Below are 24,513 nucleotides of genomic sequence, written 5' to 3' on the forward strand. Positions count from 1 at the left end.
CTGTGCCCTTCTTATAAAATAAAACAAGGATTTGCTAGCTTTAAAGCAATGGAGTATTTTGGAAGTGGCCCTATATAGCCCCTGAAATCATCCCACGGTGGTCAAGAAGGCAAATCTAGATGGGACAGGCCAATGGCTGTCTTCTTATCATCTCTGTTCTGGCATCAGGCAGGCAGGTATCCATTCCTTCTAGCTCTCACAATCTATGATTTCAGATTGCACAAAGCAACATGCAATTAGTTGTCAAATTAGTGATTTCGACAATGACTATTCTGAGTTCTGAGAGAGATACTGATAGTTGCAAGTAAGAGCAAGGAAAAACATTGTCACTGCTTGTTTGAGTTCTTTTTTGGCAACTTCATGAGGACAGGGATCTTGCCTTTCCTATTGATTGTTTTCTCTCCAGTGCCTAATATAGAACCTTGAACATATATAATTAATAAATATTTGCTGTTCAAAGAAAACTTCATGAAAAATGAGCATCTTTTCTTTGGTATCAAAGGTGAGTAATATTGGAGTAGGAGAATATATTCAGGCTGGAGAAAATAGTAGTACTTGAGTAGGGGAATATAAAACATATTTGGAAGCTGGGGAGTAGAAAATAGCACATAGAGCATAGGGTTGAGAGGATGTAAGAGAAGAGATGAGATAGAAGAGTTAATTTGAGGCCAAAATACAGAGGATCTTAATGCCAAACTTGTGACTGGATTTTTGTTCTGAATTTGGGCATGTGTACCCACAGAGGAATTAAACCAGGACAAGATCTCAGAGCAGGGATCTGGGAGGGAAGAAGATGGAAAGCTCAAAGACCAATTCAGAGGCTACTATTGTGAGAAGACGAGGAACCACAAGAGGCAATGCCATCTTCTAGGGATGTAATCCTATCTTATGAACCAACATTTTGTAAGCTTTCTTAAAGGGACAGAATATTTGAAACCGAAGCCACTTCAGAAAGTCTAGTGCTCAAGGATGTGGCCCTTTCATATAAGGGGCCTTTCTTTCTCAAGTCCTTATTCCAAGAGAATTCAGGAGGGATGCAGTGCTCAGAGACCTGTCCCCCTGTTTAGTTATGAAATCATTGCTGGAGATAGGATCCCTCATAAATTCTTTGTTTAAAACCCCTCAACAAGTTGAAAATATCAAGAGAAAGAGATGTTTGTGTGGGGTTTTTCCATGCTGCATCTCAAAATAACAGAACTATTCAGCCCAAGGGAAACATGCTCACTCTCTAAATCCCACAAGTGAGATCAGAGGAGCGCAAGGATTACACAGCTGCTGGAATCTGACGCCTAGAGAAAGCCTATTGGTTTGGGGAAGTTTGGTGCCTGAAGATGCTTGTAAAATCAAAGCATTTGAGAATTGAAAACATCTCAGCGTCATTTTACATCAAACTTTCAGCAATCTACTGATGAGTTTTCTCTCAATATCCTCAATTTGTGGATCTTTCTGTTGCATCGAAACAGTTAAACTTTTGAGGTCCCTATTTCTTAGAAGTTTTCATCAAGCTTGCCATTAGAAAGATACAAAAATGGGCTCAGCTGTGCATTCTTGATGGTTTCTGACACAGGACTCTGTGATAACTTTATGTTGACTCTTGCTGAAAAAGGTCTGAGAGATGAGATGCAAAAAAGGGCTCATGTCACTCTGAAGACTAAAAGTATAATTGAATTCAAGTGCATAGCACGTGTTTGGCTGCTTTATTCAAATATTATTTTACATATCCTTTGAAGATTTTCAGATCAGCCAGCCTATTTCATACGAAAGAACAAGGTAATGGCATGTTCAGGTCAGAGATACAAAACATGCTCTGAGATACTCCAGGGAGAGGTCAGATTAAGAACAAACATCCATATCTCATTATAATCAGATCCTAGGCAATTAAAAATAATTACTCTCTTTCCTAGCTGACCTTGTGGGCTATATAAGCTAAAATCTAGTCTAAACAAAGCTAAATTGGAGAGTCTAAATCTAAGCGCCTAAAGAAAAAGTATAGTCCAATCAACCACAGTGGCTAGATAACCCAATTAGTGGCTTTGGAGAAAGATAATCAAAAGTTAAATGAATTTCCCATTTGCTGCCACAATGTCCTATTTCTGAAGCATAGGCTTCTTAGAGTAGAGGACTTGGGTGAGGAAGGATAGCATGCACCTTTAGGTAAACAAGGGGGTTTTATCATCACCAAGCAAGTGCAGTTCTCTGCTATCAAACCCCTACTCTTCAATTGCTAATAATGACTCTGTAAATTATAGCTCTTAGCCAATTCTCAGGATAGAGTTCATCTTCTACTTTAAAGGATTCTTTCCCTGCAATGTAATTTCCACTTTTTCTCTTTCAAGGTACTGCATTCTATAGCTGTTCCTTTAGTCATTTTTTTTTTTATTCTTCTGCAGGGAATATAAACCTCCCTTCCCCCAGCCCAATTAAATTCCAAATGTTGGACATAGACATATCATTTCTCACAAAAGTAGGTGCAGGATTTTATGTCAAGAGAAAGGATTATGTATATATTAGTGTGAACGCTGTGCTGTTTGTTTCTGTCAAAGAAGTACCTAAACAAGGCTATAGGAGACTCCAAACATGGGCACTCAGGGCAATTTGCACAGTGGGGTGTTCAGTTTTGATAATCAGAGAGAACTACGACAATCAAAGTACATCTGAGGAATATAGAAAACTTAAAATTCAGGGTCTAGAATCTGACCTTAATTGGCAAAAATTATATTTTTTGAACACTTCTGTCTGGTTTAAAGTGATTTTGTTTGGGCAAAATCACTTTCCTCTTTTCGATATTTTTGTTAGGTATAGAGAGGCAAGTATTATCACGTAAGTCAAGAGAATTGAATGATGTGCCTAGAGTATAGAATATTCAACTTTTAACTCAGTAGACCTTGTTTCTAGTCAACGTCTCTTTCTTTCTGTATAAATTAATGGATTCTGGAATGACACACAGGAATTTTCTTAAAACAAACACATAAAAAAGCAAGGAAAATAAGAAAGCTATCCGATCCTATACTAGTTCACTGCAGGAGAAAGTAATAATCATCTTTTATAAGAATTCTTTATTCAATACTGAGGAGCAGAGCAAATAAACAGATGTAATTCCTCCTGATTTATCGAATCATTTGTACTACCTGTAATTGAGCGTCCAGAATACACATCGTATTGAACCAGACACACTAAGGTGTACAAAGGAAATTTTCACTACAGTTGAGGAAATAAGACACACATGAAAAATTAAACGCAAGGCAAGATTAAGTGTGAAATGAACTGCACCAGTGTTTGAATGAAAGCAAGTTTAAATAAAGACGGAGTGGTAAGGGAAGACTTCATGAAAGAGGCAACCTTTGAGCAAGATTATAATAAGGCTGAATTTCAAGAAACAAAGAATAAACTGAGAATAGTACAAACAGGAGGCATAACGTAAAGACACAAAGAGGTAGAAATGCACAAACTATGCTTGAGCCCTGTGGAGTAGGCTCCTGTTGGAGAATAAAGAGAGGTAAAGTCAGAAAGATGAGCTATTGAATGTTTTTGAACTGGGAAATCACAACATGGTGGCAGTGGTGTTTTATGGAGAAAATAGAATGACGGTGTGCAGGCTAGTTTGGAGAAAAGAGGGATTGATAAGAAAGACATAAATTAGGAAGTAATTATATAATCCAGGATTTAGATTGCCAGGGCCGAAGCAAAGATAATGGTAATTTTTTTAAAAAAAATATTATTATTAGTAGCAGAAATATGAAAGGAACTTGTAAACTGATTAGATGGGTAACCAGAAAAGTTTGAAACCTATATGATGAGGAGAAGTAAACTGTCAACATTCAACAAATGAGGAAGTTAGGAATGGTTTTTATAGTTTTGTAATCCATTGTTTTATCTTCTCTTTCTTCACCTCAGAACAGGTAATACCTGGTTACCTCATGGTTACCTATAGTCTATACTTCAGAACCATCTCCTTCATGAGAACACAGCACACTTTAAAATACCTACTTGTCAGGCACAAAGCAATAAAAACGAATCCAAGAGTCCTTTTCTAGATGTGATATTGAACACTGAATCTGAGAGTCAAGAGGCCTGGGTTGTGGTTCAGACTTTAGAAGGAATTTATCCTGATGGCTGGGGTTGGATAGACCAGCCTTTCCCAAAGTGACCTCTGTGGAATGTTAATCCTCAGAATACTCTTAGAAAAGTGGCTCAGTTTGCAAACATCAAAAACTCTGTTTCACTCTTAAGACATCACAGAACGCCTTGGTATAGCAAAGGCTACCCTTTTTGTACACGATTGATACATCCCTCTGAACTAAGGACCTATTAAACAAAGACTAACCTAGACACACTTTAAAATTCCTAATAATAATCTGTGGTTATGGAATATGGAGATCTAAACCAGGATGAAAAAATAAGGAATGTAAGCCAAAGAAAGAAAATAAAAAGAGGAAAAGATAATTTGATAATTAGAAGTAAATGCTAGTGAAAAGAGATTGCAATGAGATATGGGAACTTGCTATAAGGACAAGGTTTAACACAGGCAGCCTATAATATAATCCCAGGACAGGTTTCCTTAAGACAAGAATGACCATCAATAGACCCTTTTCTTCTTTAGTATTATAATCATCTGACCCTGCTGAAGAAAAACATCATTACGTCCATACTGTTGCCTAGACTTCAAATTTCAGATGTAGAATGGGTGTTTGCATTCTCCTTAGGAATTCTAACTGCAGGAAGAATAAAGTAAGATCAAAGGCACTTTTCTAGATCCACTGACTGCCTCTAGGTGAAGCTGAGTTTCTAAGATAAGTCAGAAACCAAAATTCCTTTGACTATAGTCAGAATGAACCTGCTCCCTGAGTTCTTGACAAATATGGACAGCGTTAAGGGACACATTTTCTTACCCAGAAAGTAAGTCCATGGAGATTAAGTGCTAGATACCCTGGGAGGAGATTATTCTTAAACAAATGGGAGGTTGTAAACTACCTCAGAGTTATAAAGATCTTTATATCAATTTTCCAAAATCAGTCTCATATCTCTTGACTGACTTGGTCCTCACGAAAGCCCTCTGTGGTAGATAATTTTTGCCTAATATTTTACAGTTGAGAGCAACATTATTATCATCAACAACAATAACAACATGAGAGATATTGTGCAAAGTGTTTCACCCACATTGTCTCATGTAATCCTCATAGCATCTCTGTCAGTTAGGCACACATGGTGATTTCCATTATACAGCCAAAGGTCCAGATAACAGAGCTAAAATTTAATGGAACATCCTGGGTTTAAACTCAGGTCTCTCAGATTCTAAACACTATACTCCACCATCTCTGACTCATCAGAACCAGCTAAAGGCTGCCCGTGAGTGAACCTGCTCCCCTAGTTTAGTACTTTCTCCATGGTGCCATGGTGCCTCAGGCTGCCTAAACCCCACTCAAACTAGTAATACTTAACCCACTCTCTCAGCTATAGTCTAAATCAGAAGTGGGCAATACATAGTCCATGGGCCAAATTTGGCTTGCCCCATGTTTTTCTATGGCCAGTAAGCTAAAAATCTTTCTCACCTTTTCACATGGTTGAAAAAAATCAAAATAATGCTTTTTTGTGTGACATGACAATTATATGAAATTCAAATTTCTGTGTTCATAAATAAAGTTTTCTTGGAACATGTCCATGTTCATTAATTTACATGTTGTTTATGGCTGCTTTTCTGCTACTGTGATAGAAGTGAGTAGTTGCAAGAAGTGGTATAGCCCATAAAGCTGACTTCTGGTTTAAAATGTAAAGGATTACTCTTTTTTTTTTTTTTTTTTCAGAATAAGAAAGGTATAGAGTCAGATGATGTTCATTTCACATGGCATGCAGAGGAGATATAAAAGATTCAAATTTGGATCCCAGCTCTGCCATCCAGGAGCTGCAGGGATAATTGCCAGAGCTACTCAACTTTTTTGTGCTTTGGTTTGTCTTATTTGAAAAACAGAGCAATAATTCCAAACTTGCAGTTTTTGGTGAAGTTTTAATGAAGTAGTATGTACAAAACATACTGCATAAAGCAAATAGTAGGAGCCCCTTAGTAAATGAAATCTACTTGCCTGTTGATGGTGCTTCTGTTCTTTTAGCATTAATATCAGCATGTGCAGATCATAGGAAATTAGCAATCTTTCGTGATAGCTGGCAGATGTATCAAATGAAATGAAACTGCTGCAAGGTGAATGGAATGATAGGATAAAAATGTACATAGTAAAATGTAGGAATTGTTTTCCACCCGGTGAGCCTGAGTAACAATGAAGCTTTGACATGTTGATGGATTAAGCAATTGCAGTCAATGAAGTCCAATAATCCATCCACCTACACCTCATGTAATCATTAAAGTTAATACGCAAACTTGGAAGATTGTAAGGTGAATTAGAGATACTTAGTTGAACAGTCCATTTCATCCCTGTTCTGCCATTTACTTAGATAACCTTGATTCAGTCTTTTTAAGGAAGCAAAAATAAAGGTAATTGCTCTCTCATTCTAACAGTATGTGAGTTGTAATTCACTTGACATTTTATCTACTCTTCAGTGATTAACACACTGACCTGAAATAATTTTCCTTTTTTAAAATCTAATAGACAAAGCAACATTTCTCTTCTCACCTCAGTACACCTTTCCAAGAAGATTGCAAAGCCAAACTCTAAGATGGTCCAAGTCAAGCCCTACCAATGAGTGTGCAGAAGACAGAATCTTCTTAAGACTGGGTATTTGAGAGAGCTTCTAAAGCTCTTAACTATACTCATTCCTTAGGTGGAGGAAAATCCTAACACCTGGCAGGAACTTTCTTTCCTTTTCTTAGTTTTATGCAACTTTGTCCTCTAATACGTACACTGAAGTAAGGAATTGACCTAGAGCTAGCCTTTGTCAAGAATGTGAAATTTGTTTCTGGTGCTCTGTTCATCACACTCTCTCACACAGTCTCTTTCCATACTATCTCAACATCTCATGCTCTCTTTCCTTAGTTGCAAAATGCTCTTGGCCAGAGATGTGTTTTAGTCATTTATACCTTAGCATTACTTTTTTTCAAAAATTCATATCCTCTCATAGTAATTCATACAAATATACTCCCTGAAGCTTTAGGGTGTGGGGGTGGATTTTCTTTTCTTTCCTCTTTCTTTTCTTTCTCTTTTTCCCTTTTTCCCTCCATCTTTTCTCTTTTTTGGCCTATGTTTTCTCTGCAGAATGAAAAAAGAAAATCTCTCTTCTGATAAGGAGATTTCAGAAAGCAGACAGGCTAGTGTGAAATCACCCTAAAATTAAAACTTGTTTGGGTCTGTTTGTTTTATCAACTGGATGACACTGCTTGACCCACATGGAAACATTGGAAAAAGTGGAGTAGGTCCAGGAGAGGTGGAAATTAGGGTGTAGGGGTCATCTATATCTTTTAGTGTTCACAACAATTCAACCAAGCAGGTTGTACTAAAATGGCTTCAGAAATGAGGAACTTGAGGCTCAGAAGGGGTTAAGTAATCACTGAAAGTCACTTAGGACCAAATGACTTATAGGAGCTCAGGTACATTGGCCTTCTCCTGTGCTTATATTTACCTAATAAATCAGACTGTCTTTGTGCATGGGCACATTCTTCAGCATAATCAGGAGTAGCTGTCTAATCTGAGACAGTGTAGCCAAAACACAGAGCTGGCCAGTTATTTTCCCTGCCTCTGCAGCTGCCTCTGGATAAGGACTGAAGACTTGAGATGTTAAGGGGAAATGTGGCAAACAGAATCAATCAGGTCTGCAAGGCTGCAACTCATTGTCCCTGAGTGAAAATCTGAAATGCAACACCAACATGTTTCAGTGTCAATATGGCAATTGGTGAACTAAAGAGATGACCACCTTCTTCAATTAAATGCAAATCATCCACAGCTTTAAGTGACAAAGGTTGAAACAGGCTTCTGTTTAAAATCCTTGCAATAAAAACACAGAGAGTATCTAAAATCCCTGAGTCCCAACTTGCCAGTTCTCAGGGGAAGCAGTAACTGAACAATTACTTCAGGCTTCCCTCACTGTTGCTCTAATGGAGTCAGTCACAGTGGGTTGGGAAAACAAAACAAAACAAAACAAAACAGTAGACTGTGAGTCAAAAGGCCCGATTTCTACTTTTGGCTCCATCTCAACTCATCACGAGAGTTTGGAAAATCCTCTTTACTCTTCAGACACCAGATTCCTAATTTGCAAAAGAAAGAGAGAGTAGGATGGTGTCTAAATTCTTGGCCAACTCTAGGAGTCTACTTCCTGTTAAAATAGTTAAGTAAATTTCTAACTTATTAATCACATTTTTTTCCAGTTGTGTAAAAGATTATCCTGTATTTCTCCCTCTCTCTGTGTCTTTCCTATCTTTCTTTCTTTCTTCACACCTTTTCTCTTCTCTACCACCTCCTTTTTACACCCAAAAGCAGAATCTCAGTTCAGGAATTATTTGCTGCTGCCTTCAAAACGACAAAGACTATGGCCTTTTAGATTCAGTGTCCTCGGGAGACATACCTTGTGTATTCTGCTTAGATCAAAGCTGCCTTTCTGCCTCCAATTCTGGGTCTCCTAAGTTTCTACTTTGCCTTCATTTTCCTTTTCTGGTTCCACTAAAGAGAGTATGAAACCCAAGAGCAAATGCATTGAAAAGACAAAACTTTTCCCTTTGCCTTTGGATTCCGGTTCTCTGACACTGCCGTTCTCTGACAAATGCTGATACAAACTCTCATCTAAGATTCTTGGAAAGCCACAGGCAGGAGGGTTGGGCTGGGGAGTTAGTTGTTTTATTCAGGACTTCGGTCAAGGGGCAGAAATATTTCAGTCTAACAGATATCAGCCTAATGTAAAAATAATAATAGTACGCAATGCACAAATGCCAGCCATGCAGTTGTTCCCCCTCCCTCTGATACTCACAGTTCAATGGCATTCCTCGGGAGGTCAGAAGGAATCTCTGTCACCTTGCTCTCTTGGCAGAGAAAAACCCTGTTAGAGCAGTGACAGATCCGATGATGACATCCTGAGCCCAAGCTCAGGAATGCCAGCAAAGAGACCAGGAGCAGGGCCATAATTATGCATCCATCCACCTGATTTCTTCCTGCATTTGCAGAGAAAAACCTCCACAGATCTCAGAAGCTCCACACAGTGCCCTTATGAGAAGAGATCTGACTTGAGAACTGGTAGGGTCATGTGACCCACCAAGGGATGCTTTTTTTTTTTTTTTTTGTTACTTCCAGGCAAGATAAGCTACTCTGTTTTCCTTCAAGATTGGGTTTCTTACACCCTGACCTAAGGCACACAGCAAATAGAACCATTAGGCATGTCTGGAATAGTTTGCATTATTTCATTGCAAAAGTCTCCTTGCTGTTCACCATTCTCTTCTCAACAGAGTGACATGATTGACTTTCTCCAAAAAAGACACAACCCACAATATGACACATCACTAAGAGGGGTACTAATAAGTGAAGGGCTGGGACCTTCAGTCTTCAGCATCAATTTCTTCAACCAGCCCACCTGAGAGAAAACCAGCCCTTCTGGGTTGCATTCAATGATCCTCTTTTTTTGCTGTAATTATGCCAAAAATGGCACTATTCAGAAACAGGCAGGTGGGTTAGCAAACCTTAGGCAGATTTCCGTAGGTGGGAGGTACTTCTGATAGGGTTATCTGTAGCGATAATTGACTGAACTGAGTGATCTAAGAAATGTGCTATGTTTCCAGTGGGGATTTAGTAAATGCCAGCACATCCACCCCCTCGTGCATATCCTGCCTGCCTTCTCGCATTTCCAGGCTCTGAAGATTGCCCTTGCCTTTTGGCAATTGGCATAAATGAATTTATTTAATCTACGCTTTTAACTTACTTTTAAAAGTTCCCTGAGGTGACAGCCCAGCACTTTTGTTGGCATTCCCCTCCTCGATGGTGAGGGATCTGAGGAACGTTTGGCAACACTTTTAGAAAAGTGGCTTTCTACTTTCAATTGTAGAATCTATGAAGATTAAAAGGCAGAATATTCTCTAAGATCCTGCCCACAACTTATTACCTGCTAAAATTAGTTTCAATACTATCTTTAGATAATTAGTTGCATAAAATTGAGCTTCATGAAAATGTTAAAAATACCTACTTATCCCACCCCTCCTTCCCTCTCCCCTGCCTTACCAAGGAAAACCATGTAAAGAATGATTAAATTATTAAGAAAAAAACAGAAGCAAGTGATTTGGGGGGCAAAGTTGATCCCTAGATTTTTTCTGGGAGCAACTGGTTTATTCTAATTCTGGAATTGGCAGACAAAGGCAGTATCTATATGGACTTCATATTTTTAACAAATTGGCTAACATGAATGGTTAAATTAGTTTGTTCAACAACTGATCCAAGGAATTATAGTCTTTCAGATGTAGAAGGAAGTTAATTCAATCAACCAACTAATGCTTAAGTTTAAGTATTCATATTAATTTAAACGGATTTTCTCATCTGTACTTGAATAACTCCAGTGACAAGAAACTCACTACCAATTAAACCTTTTACCCAATTCCTCTGCCCCATAAGTCCCCTTCTAGCTTTTGGAGAGCTCTGTAATTAGTCTTAGTATAATAAGCAGAAATCTTTTTAAAATTGAGATTTTTATTTTAAATGCTATGTCGTATTCACAACTTATAGGTAACATAAATGTAATTTATTAAGCATAATAATGCAACAAACAATTGCGGGCTGGAGAATAAAGGACATAGCCAGTCCTGTTGCATCTACTTAGTTGATTTTCCTTTATTACCTTCTTGTGTTCCTATGCCCAAGGTGACCATTAATCTGAATTTTGTGGTTATTATTTCATTTGTTTTGTAAAATTAATCTTGTCACAAAATGTATCTCCAAGGAATATATTATTTAATTTCTTGCGTGTTTTTACATTTTTACAAAGTCTATCAGTCTTTTAGTAGTATTTTGCTGCTTACTATTTTACACTAACTAGACATTTTAAAGAAATAACCATGTTGTTATGTGTACCTGCAGTTTATTAATTTTGTACCTGTTAGGTATACCTGTAGTTTATTAATATTATACTACTGTATGATATTCCATTGCATAAATATACCATAATTTATGTTTTCATTCTCCTGTAATTTTTAAAATCCTGAGGTTGTGAAAATATTATTTTATATCTTCTCTAAAATTTTTTAGTTTTGCTCTGTACATTTTGGCCTTTGATCTATTTGGCATTGAGATTTATGGGTGTGAGTAAAGGACTCAATTTGTTTTTTATCTGATGGCATAATGGTTTTATCCACATGGATAAACATTTGTCCCAAAACCATTTATTGAATGGTCCCTCTTTTCTTTTCTCACTTGTAAAACTACCTTTCTCATATCTCAAGTAACTATTTTGCATGGGTTTGTGTCTAAGCTTTTTTATATTCCACTATTCTTTTTTCTACATTACACCAATGTTATACTGTCTTAATTACTACAACTTTAAAGTAAGCCTTGATATACAGTAAGAAAACACTTCTATCTTATTTCCTATAGGAGTATCTTGCCTATTTTGGACCTATGAATAAATTTTAGAATCAGATTATTACACTCCTTGAAAACACCCTGGTATAATTTTGTTTGGAATTATATTGATTATATAGATTAATTTGGGCAGAAATTATCACCTTTAAGATAACAAGTCTTCTTATCCATGAATATGGTATAGCACCATGTTATTTAAGCCCTTCTTTGATGTCTTTAAATAAAGCTTTATACTTTCTTCCATATATGTCCTAATATCTTAAATGTGTTTCCTGATGACATCCTGTTTTATGCTGTTATAAATGAAATCAATATTTAAAGTCACATTTTATGTTTGTTGTCATACTGTAAAAATGCAGTTAATTTTGGAATATTTATCTTATATCTAAATTACCTTATTACATTTTCTTTTTTTTTTTTTTTTTTTTTGAGACAGACTCTTGCTCTGTCACCCAGGCTGGAGTGCAGTGGCTCGATATTGGCTCACTGCAAGCTCTGCCTCCTAGGTTCATGCCATTCTCCTGCCTCAGCCTCCTGAGTAGCTGGAACTACAGGTGCCCGCCACCACGCCTGGCTAATTTTTTGTATTTTTTAGTAGAGGCGGGGCTTCACCGTGTTAGCCAGGATGGTCTCGATCTCCTGACCTCATGATCCACCTGCCTCGGCCTCCCAAAGTGCTGGGATTACAGGCGTGAGCCACCATGCCCAGCCACTTATTACATTTTCTATGCAAACAATTATCCATATCTAAATAATTCTGTGTATGTGTGTGTGTATGTGTAGAGAGTTTCTTTCTTTTCAATTCCTTCCTCCCTTCCTCCTTTTCTTCCCTGACTCCAACTTCCTTTTCTTCTCTCTCTCCTTCTTCCTCTCTTTCTACTCTTTCTTTACAATAATAATTTTTTTTTTGTTTTTGACATGGAGTTTCATTCTTGTCACCCAGAGTGGAGTACACTGATGTGACCTCGGCTCACTGCAACCTCTGCCTCATGGGTTCAAGTGATTCTCCTGCCTCAGTGTCCTGAGTAGCTGGGATTACAGGCACCCACCACCATGCCCAGCTAATGTTTGTATTTTTAGTAGAGACAGGTTTTACCATGTTGGCCAGGCTGGTCTCGAACTCCTGACCTCAGGTGATCTGCCCACCTTGGCCTCCCAAAGTTCTGGGATTATGGGTGTGAGCCACCACCCCTGGGCTACAATAATGATTATATGCTATTAAACTACACATTTCCTAATACTTTATTTAGAAATTTTGCATCTATGTTCGTAAGTTATTTGTAACTTAATTATGAGTAATTTTTAGTGCATAATTAATTCCTAAGTTTTCTTTCTCATGTTGTCCTTGTATAGTTTGGTGGCATTGTTACGTTTGCCTTATAGTCTGAATTGGGGTATAATCCCCCTCATTTTATTCTTAGGGAAAAAAAAACTGTTTCAGATTAAAGTAATCTATTCCTTTAAAGTATGCCTGTATTTGCCTAAAAAACCATTTGAGCCTCGGTTCATATTTGTGTGTATATATGTGTGTCTGTGTGCATGTTTGTGTGTGTCAGTGTATGTATGAAAATTTAAACATATTGATTCAACTTCTTTAATTGTTATTAGATGATTCAGGCTTTCTATTTCTTCTTAAATTTATTAAATTATATTTTTTCTAGGAATTTTTTATTTTAGTTAAGTTTTAAAATTTACTGTCACAAAGATTTTTAGTATTCTCTTTTTAAATCTATTCTAAACAATTTCTAGTCTTGTTTATTTCTGTCTAGTTTCTTTTCATTAATCAACCTTTCCAAAATTCTCTTTATTTTTCTTGTTCTTTCAAAGAACGAACTTTTGCCTTTACCCTTTGCTGATCCAATTCTATCTTTATGTTTTGTTTCCATGATTTTTGCGCTTATTTTTTCCTTTTTTGTTGTTCCTTTCTAAAACGTTTTATTTATATGTCAGATTATTAGTTTTCAGCCTTTCTTCCTTTCTAATAATATACTAAAGCTGTAAATTTTTCTGTGATTTCTGCCTTGGCCCTCTTCTACAAGTATTGATAGGTAGATCTTTCATTACAATTTATTTTTAAATATTTCTCAATTTCCCATTACAATTTCTTCTTTGGCACATAGATAATTGAGAGGTGTGGTTTTGAAACTTACAAACTTCAGAAATATTTAAATTTATCTTTTTTTGTTACTGACCTCCAACTTAATTGCATAATGGTCAGAGAATGTTGTCTGTGTTGATTGTATTTTTCCCCCAAACATGTTGAGATGTGTTTTATGGCTTAGGACACAAGTTAATTTTTACAAATACTTAATGTGAGTTTGAGAAGAATCAACATTCTCTGTTTACTTGTTTCCAGGTTCTATTTTTGCCCCATAAATTCAGCTTATTTTCCTAAAATCTATATATTTACTAACATTTTAAGTTTTACTTAAACTAATTGAAGTATTTCTGTTGAAATTTCACATGATTCGGATGATCCAAGTCTCTACAGTTCTGTCAGTTTTAGTTTTTCTTTATATATTTCAAGGCTATTTTCTTTGGGCCATGAACATTTAGAATGGTATACCTGGTGAATTAAACCTTCTATCTTTTGTCACATCTTACTTTACTCATAATACTGCCTTTTATCTTGAAGTCTATTTTATGTGATACTAATATAGATATACCAGCTTTTTCTACCTTTGTACTTTCAACCTTTCTGTGTCTTTATGTTCTAGGCATGTCTTTCATAATCACCTAACTGAATTTTGTGTTTTAATCCATTTCTACAATCTCATTCTTTTAACAGGTGAGCTTAGTCATTTACATTTTATTGCTCTATATAATATTGATCTATATAAATGCTTGTTTTTCTACTATGCAACATGCTTTCTATTTGTTCTAGTTTTACATGCTTTTTTTTCCTTTTATGCTTTTTGTTTTATTTGTTGAGTTTTTGTGTGCTGTTTTTTTAAATTGCTTTTTGTTTTCTTGTTTTATTTTGTTTCATTTACTCTTTTGCAAGTTTTATACTTTCTTTATAAATGTTTATGGTTAATCTCAAATTTTTATCTTTGACATTATGCTTTTACTGTATACTTATACCTTTTACTTAATGCAGTTTAATTTTATCAGTATTCTAACTCCCCTTCTAACAAATACATAAACTTTACATTGTTAAGGTTATTTGCTGGTTAGGTAACATGCATTCATTGTTGTCTAGGATCTTAGTTTTACAGTATTATATACCCTCATTATTTTATACCTTCAATATTTGCTTAGATTCCTTGCCACTCTGCACCATGTCACTGGAGCTCCTAGGGGTTTATTTTCCTTTGCCTTTGCAGATACTGTATTGCAAAGCCTTGAGAAGCATTGTGTATAACCAAGTATAATCTCATTCCAAAAAAAGGACCCAAGTAATTGAAGACAGCTAACTTCACAGATATGCTAGTAAATGCTCAACAACCAGCTCTCCAGAAAAAAAAAAAAAAACTCATTTGTAGCATTCGTTAATTTCCATGGTGTAACCTCTCCCTCTGCAGCTTATATCAAGCTACCCATGTGATGCCAACCAGCCTGCAAAATTCCCATTTAGCAATCTGTTCTTGTGAGCTGGTAGGAGCTGGTTCCAGCACATCACCAGCTATTTTGTACTTTTTGAATCATCTTTTTTACTTGTTGAGGCAATCTCCAATTCCTTCAGCCATTCCTTATCTGACATAGTTTTAAATGTGCTGCATTTTGTCTGGATTTTCATTCTAGAATAACCTCCAACCTCAGTTGCTTTACCTCAGGGACTAGAACTTACAGTGTTGTTCTGGGTTGTTTAACTCTATCTTAAGTTATATGAGCTTTATGAGAGTCTGGCCAGACAGAAAGTGTTTTAGGGCGTGAATATATACGGCCTGCTCTCTGAAGCAGCTATCTGGAGTTGCATTCTTCTTCCAGAGTGAGGAGAAAGGCTACTCATACTAGAATTAGAGAATTGGGCATAGCAGTTGTGGCAACAACGTTTGGCTGCAGTATTAGATGCAAAAGGGGGAAAAAATAACTCCTCTGATATAAAAGGGAATCATGTATAGAAAACGAGGCTTTAACATCTTAGCAGGAGATTAGTGGTGATAAACTGGAATTAAATGCCTTATTACTAAGTGTTCATCCCTTAAAAATTATGTGGAATACAGAACCTTTTTCTACCTCTGTAAATCTCCCACCTGACCACCTTTATTCTTTTAAACTTATCACTAGCACTCCTTGCGTGTCCTCACGGTTATTCTACTTTATGAAGAACTTTCTTTTGAGGTTATTTTCTAGTTATTCCTTATTTCAGAGGACCCTTTGCATTTGGCACTGCCTTCAGGTTGCTCAGACTTCCATAGGGATTAAGAACTATGCAAACATTAGGTAGTGATGATTATGATGGTTATGATTATGATTCACATCTTAGGAATCTATCTGTTAGGAATTGTATTGGAAAGTCAAGGTCCATTTTAACTTCATGATTTTATAACTTAAAGTTTCCTAAATCTCAAAGATCTCAAATCTCAACAATGAGGCAGTAGCACATTTTTACACCACAAGGCTAGAGGACTAAATAGATCTTTCAGGCAGATTTTATTTCTTGGACTTTCATGGTTTCATGGAACTGTATATAATTCTTAATCAGAGAAGATTTGTCACCGGTTAGATAATTGAACTGGTTTATAAACAAATCTGTGAAATTAATTTCCGGGTCAATTTTTTTTTTCCTTTTTAGGGTAGTCATGTGAAGGTAAGGTCTCTGGGGTCAATTGGAAAACACCTGTGTATCTATTTGGCTGGAAAGAAAGCCATCCTAACAGTGGTGAAAGTTGCTATATAAAAAATAAAATCTTACAAGTAGGAGTGTAGAATGAGTTGAGGTAGGAACATTTGTACTGATGACTTTTCTGTCAAAAGGAAACTTAATCTAAAGAATATAAGATGATGTCACGCCTGTAATCCCAGCACTTTGGGAGGCTGAGGTGGGCGGATCACAAGGTCAGGAGATCGAGACCATCCTGGCTAACATGGTGAAACCCCGTCTCTACTAAAAATACAAAAAAATTAGCTGGGTATGGTGGCGGACGCCTGTAGTCCCAGCTACTCAGGAGGCTGAGGCAGGAGAATGGCGTGAACCTGGGAGGCGGAGCTTGCAGTGAGCCGAGATTGCGCCACTGCACTCCAGCCTGGGGGACAGAGCAAGACTCCATCTCGAAGAAAAAAAGAATGTAAGATGATGTTGTTTTCTTTCTTATGTATTGAAACAGTTAGATTTTTATACTTAACAAACAACACCAAATCATCATGTCTGAAAACAACCAGTATTCATTTTATTTGTGATTCTGGGGGCCAGCAGTTTGGTCTGGGTTCAGTTGAGCAGTTTTAGACTTGACTGGGATTAGCTATTGAGTCAGCTGGGATCTGGCTGGTGCCAGATGACTTCACCCGGGATAACTTAGCTGTGCTTCACATTCCCCAGCAGACTGCCTTGGTGGTATTCATCTGATGGCATTCCAAGAGGCTCAGAACTGCCATACCATACATAATTTTGCTGTGGTCTATTGGTCATACCAAGTCACAAAGTCCAGACCAGATTCAAGGAGTCAACCAGATTCTGTTGACCCCACCTCTTGAGGAGAGAAACACAATGTCACATTGCAAAGTGGTGTGCAAACAAAGGTAGAAATAAAGACAGCCACTTCTGCCAACAATTTACCACAGGTACCCAAGCACTTAGAGGACATCCTTGTCCATGCTTGGTAATACTTGCTTTCTTTATTATTGTTTTTCAAAGTACAAGTTAGGCCAACCAATAGAGAGACTGACAACAATGATGTTGAAGACTCATCTTTAGCCTTTAGAAATTTGTTCAATTACTGACTAAGCATGTTGCTGTCCCAAGAGGGAAAATAATGTAGGTTGGTCTTTTTAAAAATCTGTCGTTATGACGGGACCAAAGACATTTATTCGCCATTCAGAAATTCTTATTTGGTAGGTTTATATTTATTTTAAAAAACAAATTCCTTTTCTATTTAACACATTATCCTTTATTTTTGATTGTTTCTGTGAATGTAGTGTAGGCATACTATAATATTATAGGCTTTAAAATGTATACTATGAGATTTATGGCAGGAATAAAAATTCCTTGTAATATGGTGAGACCATAAAGATGTAGCTTGTGAATTTTTAGTACAACATGATCATCTTTGAATACTAAATATTTCCAGTTAGCATCCTTAAATTCGCATTATTATTAATATTAGAACCTTGCTCTTTTACACATTAAGCTTTCATATTTTATTGCTTTATCATATAATTTATATATTATACCATATAAATTATACCACATAATGTAAATTTTTATATTATGCCGTATAATACAAATTAAGGATAGAGCATATAGATAGAATTAGATGGGATTATGTAAATGTACCAGGATATTATATAGGAGGCTAGCATACCAGCTCTACAACCAGCCACACCTGGCCTGTTGGGGCATGGCACACCTTTAGCTTACTGAGACAGGACAGTCATGTAAGCCATAATGTTAATGAACCCTCTTGGGCTGAGCAGTGCACGACCTACACAATTGCACCTGGCTGTCTGCTGGTGATGAGTGCTGGACCTGTGGAGGGTAAGCTCACTGGATACTGGCAGTGGAGGCTGAGGAGAGGCACTTGACAGAGTACTCAGAGTGTTGGGAGGAGGTCAACAACCAGCAAAGGAAGGAACAGTATGCTGGAGTTGGAGATCTGGGCTCCAGTCATAGCTTTGTCATTATTGTAGAATCTCAGGACATTGCAATTATCTGGAGGTGTATTTCTTCTTCTCCAAAATGGGGGTGTGAACACTTACAGGGTTCTCACGAAGACAAAATGAGAGAAGCATGTGGAAATACTGTAAGAGAGACTGGTGTGAATGTATGATAATATTCTCCTCACAGCTGTTGTCATGAAAGGGAGAAGTAGACTGCTCATCACTGCAAAAGTGGGCCTTTTTCATGGCAATTTTTCAGTTTGCTTACATGGTGAAGGGGTGTACAGACAACTCTGACTATATGGATATTTGGACCTCCACGCCACTGACCATGCCTGAGCTGTCTGCCACAATTCTGCCATTGGCAACACATACCTTCACTCACCTGCACTTCCCCTTTTGAACCCATTCTCCCACTCAGGACTTGAGGAGGTCAGGGCTGACCTGTTGCCGGCAGAGTGAAGATTCGCCTTCTTTGACTTGTCCTTGACCACTTTGGATAACAAGTGAAGTGTATGGGCCAATTTACACAACAAAAATGTTACTGTGAAAACTTATCACAGGTGGGGGAAAAATGTAATTGTAAGCTTGTTGGGGAATTTAGTGCTGCTTTTAGATGAACAAAGTGGATTCTGAAATTCTCGTATTAGTTTAATTTTTTGTAGAGAGAAGTCTTGGTCTCTTTTAAAAATAAAATGGAGTAAATTTGCATCACATTTTAGTTGTAGCAAATGATCTATAGGTGACTGTTTTTATCCCCACATGTCTAGATTTCAGAGTAAGCAGAAATTGAAGGGGGGCATGTTTGGGAATTGGGGTACACTAATATGGAAATCATATGTCTTATGTTTTGACATAAGGAGCCAGTGGGAAAATGGGGAGCAGTAGTTCCAGATTTGACCAGGGAGAGTTTTCTAAAAATCTCAGGGCAGATAAATGTTCTCAGGAATACTTATGGTAAGACCAGTATTAATATAAATCTATACCCAATAGCTGCAAAAGAAGTCTGGCCCTAGGAGTTGATGTGTGTCAGTCTAGGATACTGCCCCTTCCCTTGGAAAACTCAAACATTTAGCCATGATAACATGACTGAATCATATAACATTCTTTATTTCACAGGCATATAATCAAATTAAAGTGTAGCAGCATACTTAGTAGCTAACTATGTATGCTGTGGTGCTTGAGGAAACACTGATTTTAAGCTGAGCTGGCAGTGAAGATAAATAGATTTGGCAATTTTCTAGCTGATCTGGTTCTTGCACTCACTTAAACCTCTCAATCAAACTCCTAGTTAAACAAAATATTTTAAATATGTATATATATGCAGCATATACACATATTCAACACATAACAACATCTCAGGGTAGGGTCATTGTTTATGAAAGCAGGAGTGTCAGTTGTCAGCAACACAGCACTGCAAGCTGAAAATCCAAGGCCTATTTTCTATTTTTATACTTTGGAATGAAGAAAAATAATACTGTGTTTCCATTATTTATGAACACGGTTAAAAAAAGAGAGAAGCAGCGAAATTTCACTGCTTTCAAAGAATAATTTATTTTTATTCCACACGGGGCCTCTAACCTTTCCTCATAATCTCCCCTTCCCTGTGGGTACCTCAGGCAACCCTGGTGGTGTGAAATCTTGGCTCCTGCTGGGGAAGGGGAAAGAGAGCTGGTGGGCTCTGGCTGGGAGTGTTCACTGAGCTTGGGAGGCAACCGATTAATTGATCAGAAATGTATTGAAGGGTTGCAGGCACAGCTGAGGTATAAAATGGAGACTTTGTCCTCAAGGAATTTACTGACTCACAGGAGAGTTGAGAGCAATGTGTATAAAAAGAGGAGCCCATTTATAAGATATGGAGAGTCACATACCTAAATTCTTCAGAATTCAGATTTAGGCTATGAAACAGCTTCTACTTATTTTGTGCTAATTTTGTGCTAGACATCAGGCTAAATATCTTACATAATCTCTGATCCTCATACCAACCCTACAACGCAGCTCTGATTATTCTCATTTTATGGACGGAAAGGGTGAGGCTTAGAGAGATGAAGTGAATGTGCCCTAGTTCACACAGCTGGTAAGTGATAAGCCCAGGCTTCAAACACAGGTGTGATGGTTTTCAAGCCAGCACCCACTCCTTGGGGACAGCTCTGTCCTAGAAAGCCAGGGCAGCAGGGAGATGGACTGAGGGACCGGGAAGAAGGAGGCTGAGGCTGGTTGACTCTCAGGCTGACACTGACTTCTGCAGGACTACACAGCCACCCTTCCTGGGGAGAAGAGTCCCTCCCTCGGTTGCCTTGGTGACCCAGGAAGACTATGGTCCCTCTTTCGTTTCTGCCAGATGGTCCTGCTGAATCATTCCCACCTCATTGTAGCTAAATTACCTGCCTTAGTTCTATATTTTTATTTCTGTGGCTCTGACATAATGGGAAATAGCTCAGTTTTAATGCTAGTTTTGAGAGTGAGGTTTCTAAAGAAATGATTTAACTTACCTTGTAAACCAGAACAATTTTGAGAGTGAAAGGAGACTCTGTTAGTAATTACTGCCAGGACTATCCAAGGCATCCAGGACTTAAAATCATTCTACCAATATGGGATCAAAGGATATAGTTAACATGGAAATGAGACCCACATTATTCAGACAAGAACATCTTTAGGGCATCGAGCAGCCAAATGGAAGTGAACTCCATTGACAGCAGTAGTGGTTATCTGCTGCCTGATGTTAGGGTACAAATTTGGGCAGCGTAGTCCTCAACCTTCACCCACCCCTTACTAAGCCAAGGCAGCCCTGATTTACTGTGTCAGGGTGACATTGTTTTGTGGAAACCTCTTGCCTACTGCCAAAGTTAGTGAATTTGCACCGTTCTAACTTACAGGATTTAAATAACTTCTAATCCTTGAAGGCCTTTTACCTCTTTTCTGCTTAAAGTTTACAAATTGGACTGCAACCGCAAATACTGAAGTTTACCCACATAGAAATTCTGGCAAGAATCTGAAAGAAATCACATACTGACAAGCTGGGCTCCAAAAGAAAGAAAGGAGGTGAGGCATGAGGAGGGAAGAATGGGAGGATTGGAGGAGGAAGGGAGGGAGAGAGGACAGTCTAGGTGACTTTAAACCAACATGATCCAGGAACATCTTCCAATGTGACAGTGGCCTTCTAACACAAGGCTTCTCTTTTCAATCCCTGACCCTCTTGTCATTTGTTCTTTTCAGGTTGACAAATGGGTGTTGGTTTATGACAGCATCATTGATCAAATGACACGTTGTCTTGTATTATGTCTAGTAATAAAAAAAAAGACATAAAAATGCTTCTTGGAATAACTAGACAGTGTCAGTTTAGATAGTAACTTCCAGTCCTAAATCTCTCTGGGAATGAAAACAAATTCCATTTATCTAAAACCAAGGTGTTTTTCATTACTAATGCTGAAAATAATGCTTACTTTGAGATGAGAGGGTCGTCAACAATTTTCATCAAACCACCCCAATGAGAGTGGAGTTTTCCAAAGAGAGCCTCAATAAGGTCAACATTTCTTTGGTGTCTCTTATTTTATATTATAAATGTATGCAAATTTTACATTCTCTTTTACAATAGAGTCATGTTTATTTTACTATCAAATTTCTCAAAATATTTTTAGTAAGAGGTATGTGCAGAGATGAAAAGATGAGCCATTTTTATTCTGCAGCTTCATGTTTCCCTTTGGCATCATTCCAGGCCCTTCATTCTCAGAATGTGGGGATGAAACCACCCCAGAGCAGCTGACAGAAGGGAAGAGTTAATTATTTTAAAAGTTATAAACATAGATTTTTGATGATAAAAGTCAACTGTGAATCTGGAAATACTAATTTATTTCAAAGCTTTAAAAATAGTTTATTAAACTAGAAGCACAGTATTGAATAAAGAAGTTACTCTGATGATATTATTACACATTTTAGCTGACAAGAAAGACAGGTAGAGGATATACAGAGAAAAATAGTCTACTAAAGTCTTTGTACGGACCAAATAAAACCTGTAGTGACTCTTTTCTCCCAAAATATTCCATTATCCATAAGTGTTCCCTTGGTTTTTATCAGAAAGATAATTTACAATTTTGAACTTCAGGATAAGTAGAAGTGAAATGAAGTCATAAAACTGTATGTGAAGATTTTTTTTTTTTTTTTTGAGATGAAGTCTCACTCTATTGCCCAGGCTGGTGGGCTGAAGTACAGTGCTGCTCACTGCAGCCTCCAACTCACAGGCTTAAGTGATCCTCCTGCCTCAGCCTCCCAAGTAGCTAGGACTACAGGCATGTGCCACCAGACCCAGCTAGTTTTCAAATGTTTAGTAGAGATAAGGTCTTCCCGTGTTGCCCAGGCTGGTCTTGAACTCCTGGCCTCAAATGATTCTCCCACCTTGGCCTCCCAAAATGCTAGGATTACAGGTTTGAGCCACCACACCCAGCTGAGGACTCTTAATAACTCTGAATTTACCCTTCTTTTTGCTGGAGACTTGCTTTTATTTCTGAGGTAAAGGCAGATGAGTATGAACTTTGGCATTCATGGAGTAGACTTAAAACAGAAAACAGATGTACTTTCAAACATATTGATTTTCTGATAAGAACAATTAACCTCAGTATAAATCTGTTGACATAATATGGTTCTTCATTACACATTACTGTCAGCATCCTAAAAACAACAGCAGCAACAAACAGAAAACCAAAAACGAATGACTACCTTAAAGCCAAAACAAAACACAGTAAAACTGAAGATGTTGATAACATTAAAGGAAAAAGGCAAACTTGATTTTAACATTGTCTTACTTTTTGAAATTTCAAGTAAGTGTGTTGATGTATGTAATTACATTTATTTTCACAGTGAAATTCTTTTACAATCATTTAGTCACTGGAGTCTGGTCTTGCTTGACACGTGAAGATTTGGTCCCAAGAATGCGTAGCACCATTTCCACCATATGCTTTGGGAATGATTGAAAACACAAAGGCCATATCTGCGTTTTTAATGCTCTTCATTCACTGTCCAGATCTCTATTGAGTCTCTGCTATGTCTTAGGCACTGTGCTTGATGCTGAATAAATTAAAATGGATAGAACGTACTGCCTGTCTTCTTATCTCACAGTCTAGAGTACAGACAGTGAAGGTGTGCTGTATTCTGTTAGGTGAACTTGGCCAAAGCTGGAAATTTTATTTCCCGGGACAATAACCTTCTCTGACTGGTTTTTTGAAAGAACTTGCTTGCAATTTGCTTACAGAAATGAAGTAGAATTCATTACTCTCAGAAGGTTGTCACCATCGACCATGGTGATAGACAGATGCAGAGGTGCCCGATGGGCTCCTCCTCTTCCCCTCCAACTTGTCTTCACTCAGTGGCCCCAGGCCTACCACCAGGTTCTTGGCTGGGGACACACCAAAACTGCATCTCTGCACAGGCAACTCTTCCCAGGAAAAACAATTTTTGTAGACTTCATAAGCTCTCCTTTTTTGTGGTTTCACTTTGGTGGCTTTTTCAATTTCATTTCAAGCTCCTGCTGGTTGACCCGTGCCTTTGCTTCAGGGCACCTGGCTAGTGACTAATTTTTTTTTACCATCCAACTCTCCCTTCCAAATTTTCTTTTCCTCAGCTCCTCCCATATTTTTATAAGGGCTAACACCTACAATCAATTTTTTATTCCCATAACACTTATGGTAAATCTAATTTTCTGTCTGAATCCTATACAAACCCTTACAAGAGAATGTTATAATGAAGACAAGTAGTGAGCATTAAGGAAGATCAGAAAGGAATGACATCTCACCCATATTGGGTGGTGTCACGAACCTGATCAGGGAAGGCTTCTGGGACTAGGTGAGGCAGGCCTGGCAAAGCTGGTAAGGGCATTCCAGAGAGATGCTATGTGATATGATTTGGCTCTGTGTCCCCACCCAAATCTCATCGTGTAGCTCCCGTAATTCCCATGTGTTGTGGAAGGGACCTGGTATGAGATGGTTGAATTATGGGGGTGAGTCTTTCCCATGCTGTTCTTGTGATAGCAAATGGGTCTCATGAGATCTGATAGTTTTAAAAAATGGGAGTTGCCCTGTACAAGCTCTCTCTCTGCCTGCTGCCATCCATGTTAAATGTCACTTGCTCCTCCTTGCCTTCCACTATGATTGTGAGGCCTTTAGCAAAGACACTGGCAGCATTTTGCCCCTTTCCTAGAGATGTGTGGAAATTTGAACTTGAGAGAGATGATTTCGGGTATCTGGTGGAAGAAATTTCTAAGCAGTAAAGC

The 24,513-nt window shown here is 37.8% G+C and overlaps 1 protein-coding gene across 4 annotated transcripts in view; it reads right to left on the reverse strand.

Annotated features, from left to right (window-relative positions):
- The window catches only part of FSHR (follicle stimulating hormone receptor), a 192,359-nt gene extending 183,205 nt beyond the window's left edge, over window positions 1-9,154 (reverse strand). For all 4 annotated transcript variants that reach the window (NM_181446.3, NM_000145.4, XM_011532733.3 and 1 more), the window contains exon 1: window positions 8,905-9,154. In NM_181446.3, coding sequence (NP_852111.2) covers window positions 8,905-9,056 — 152 coding nt within the window. In that variant the 5' untranslated portion in view covers window positions 9,057-9,154. The remainder of the gene's footprint in view (window positions 1-8,904) is intronic.

The sequence above is a fragment of the Homo sapiens genome, chromosome 2, assembly GCF_000001405.40.
Source record: "Homo sapiens chromosome 2, GRCh38.p14 Primary Assembly".
Classification (NCBI taxonomy): Eukaryota; Metazoa; Chordata; class Mammalia; order Primates; family Hominidae; genus Homo; species Homo sapiens.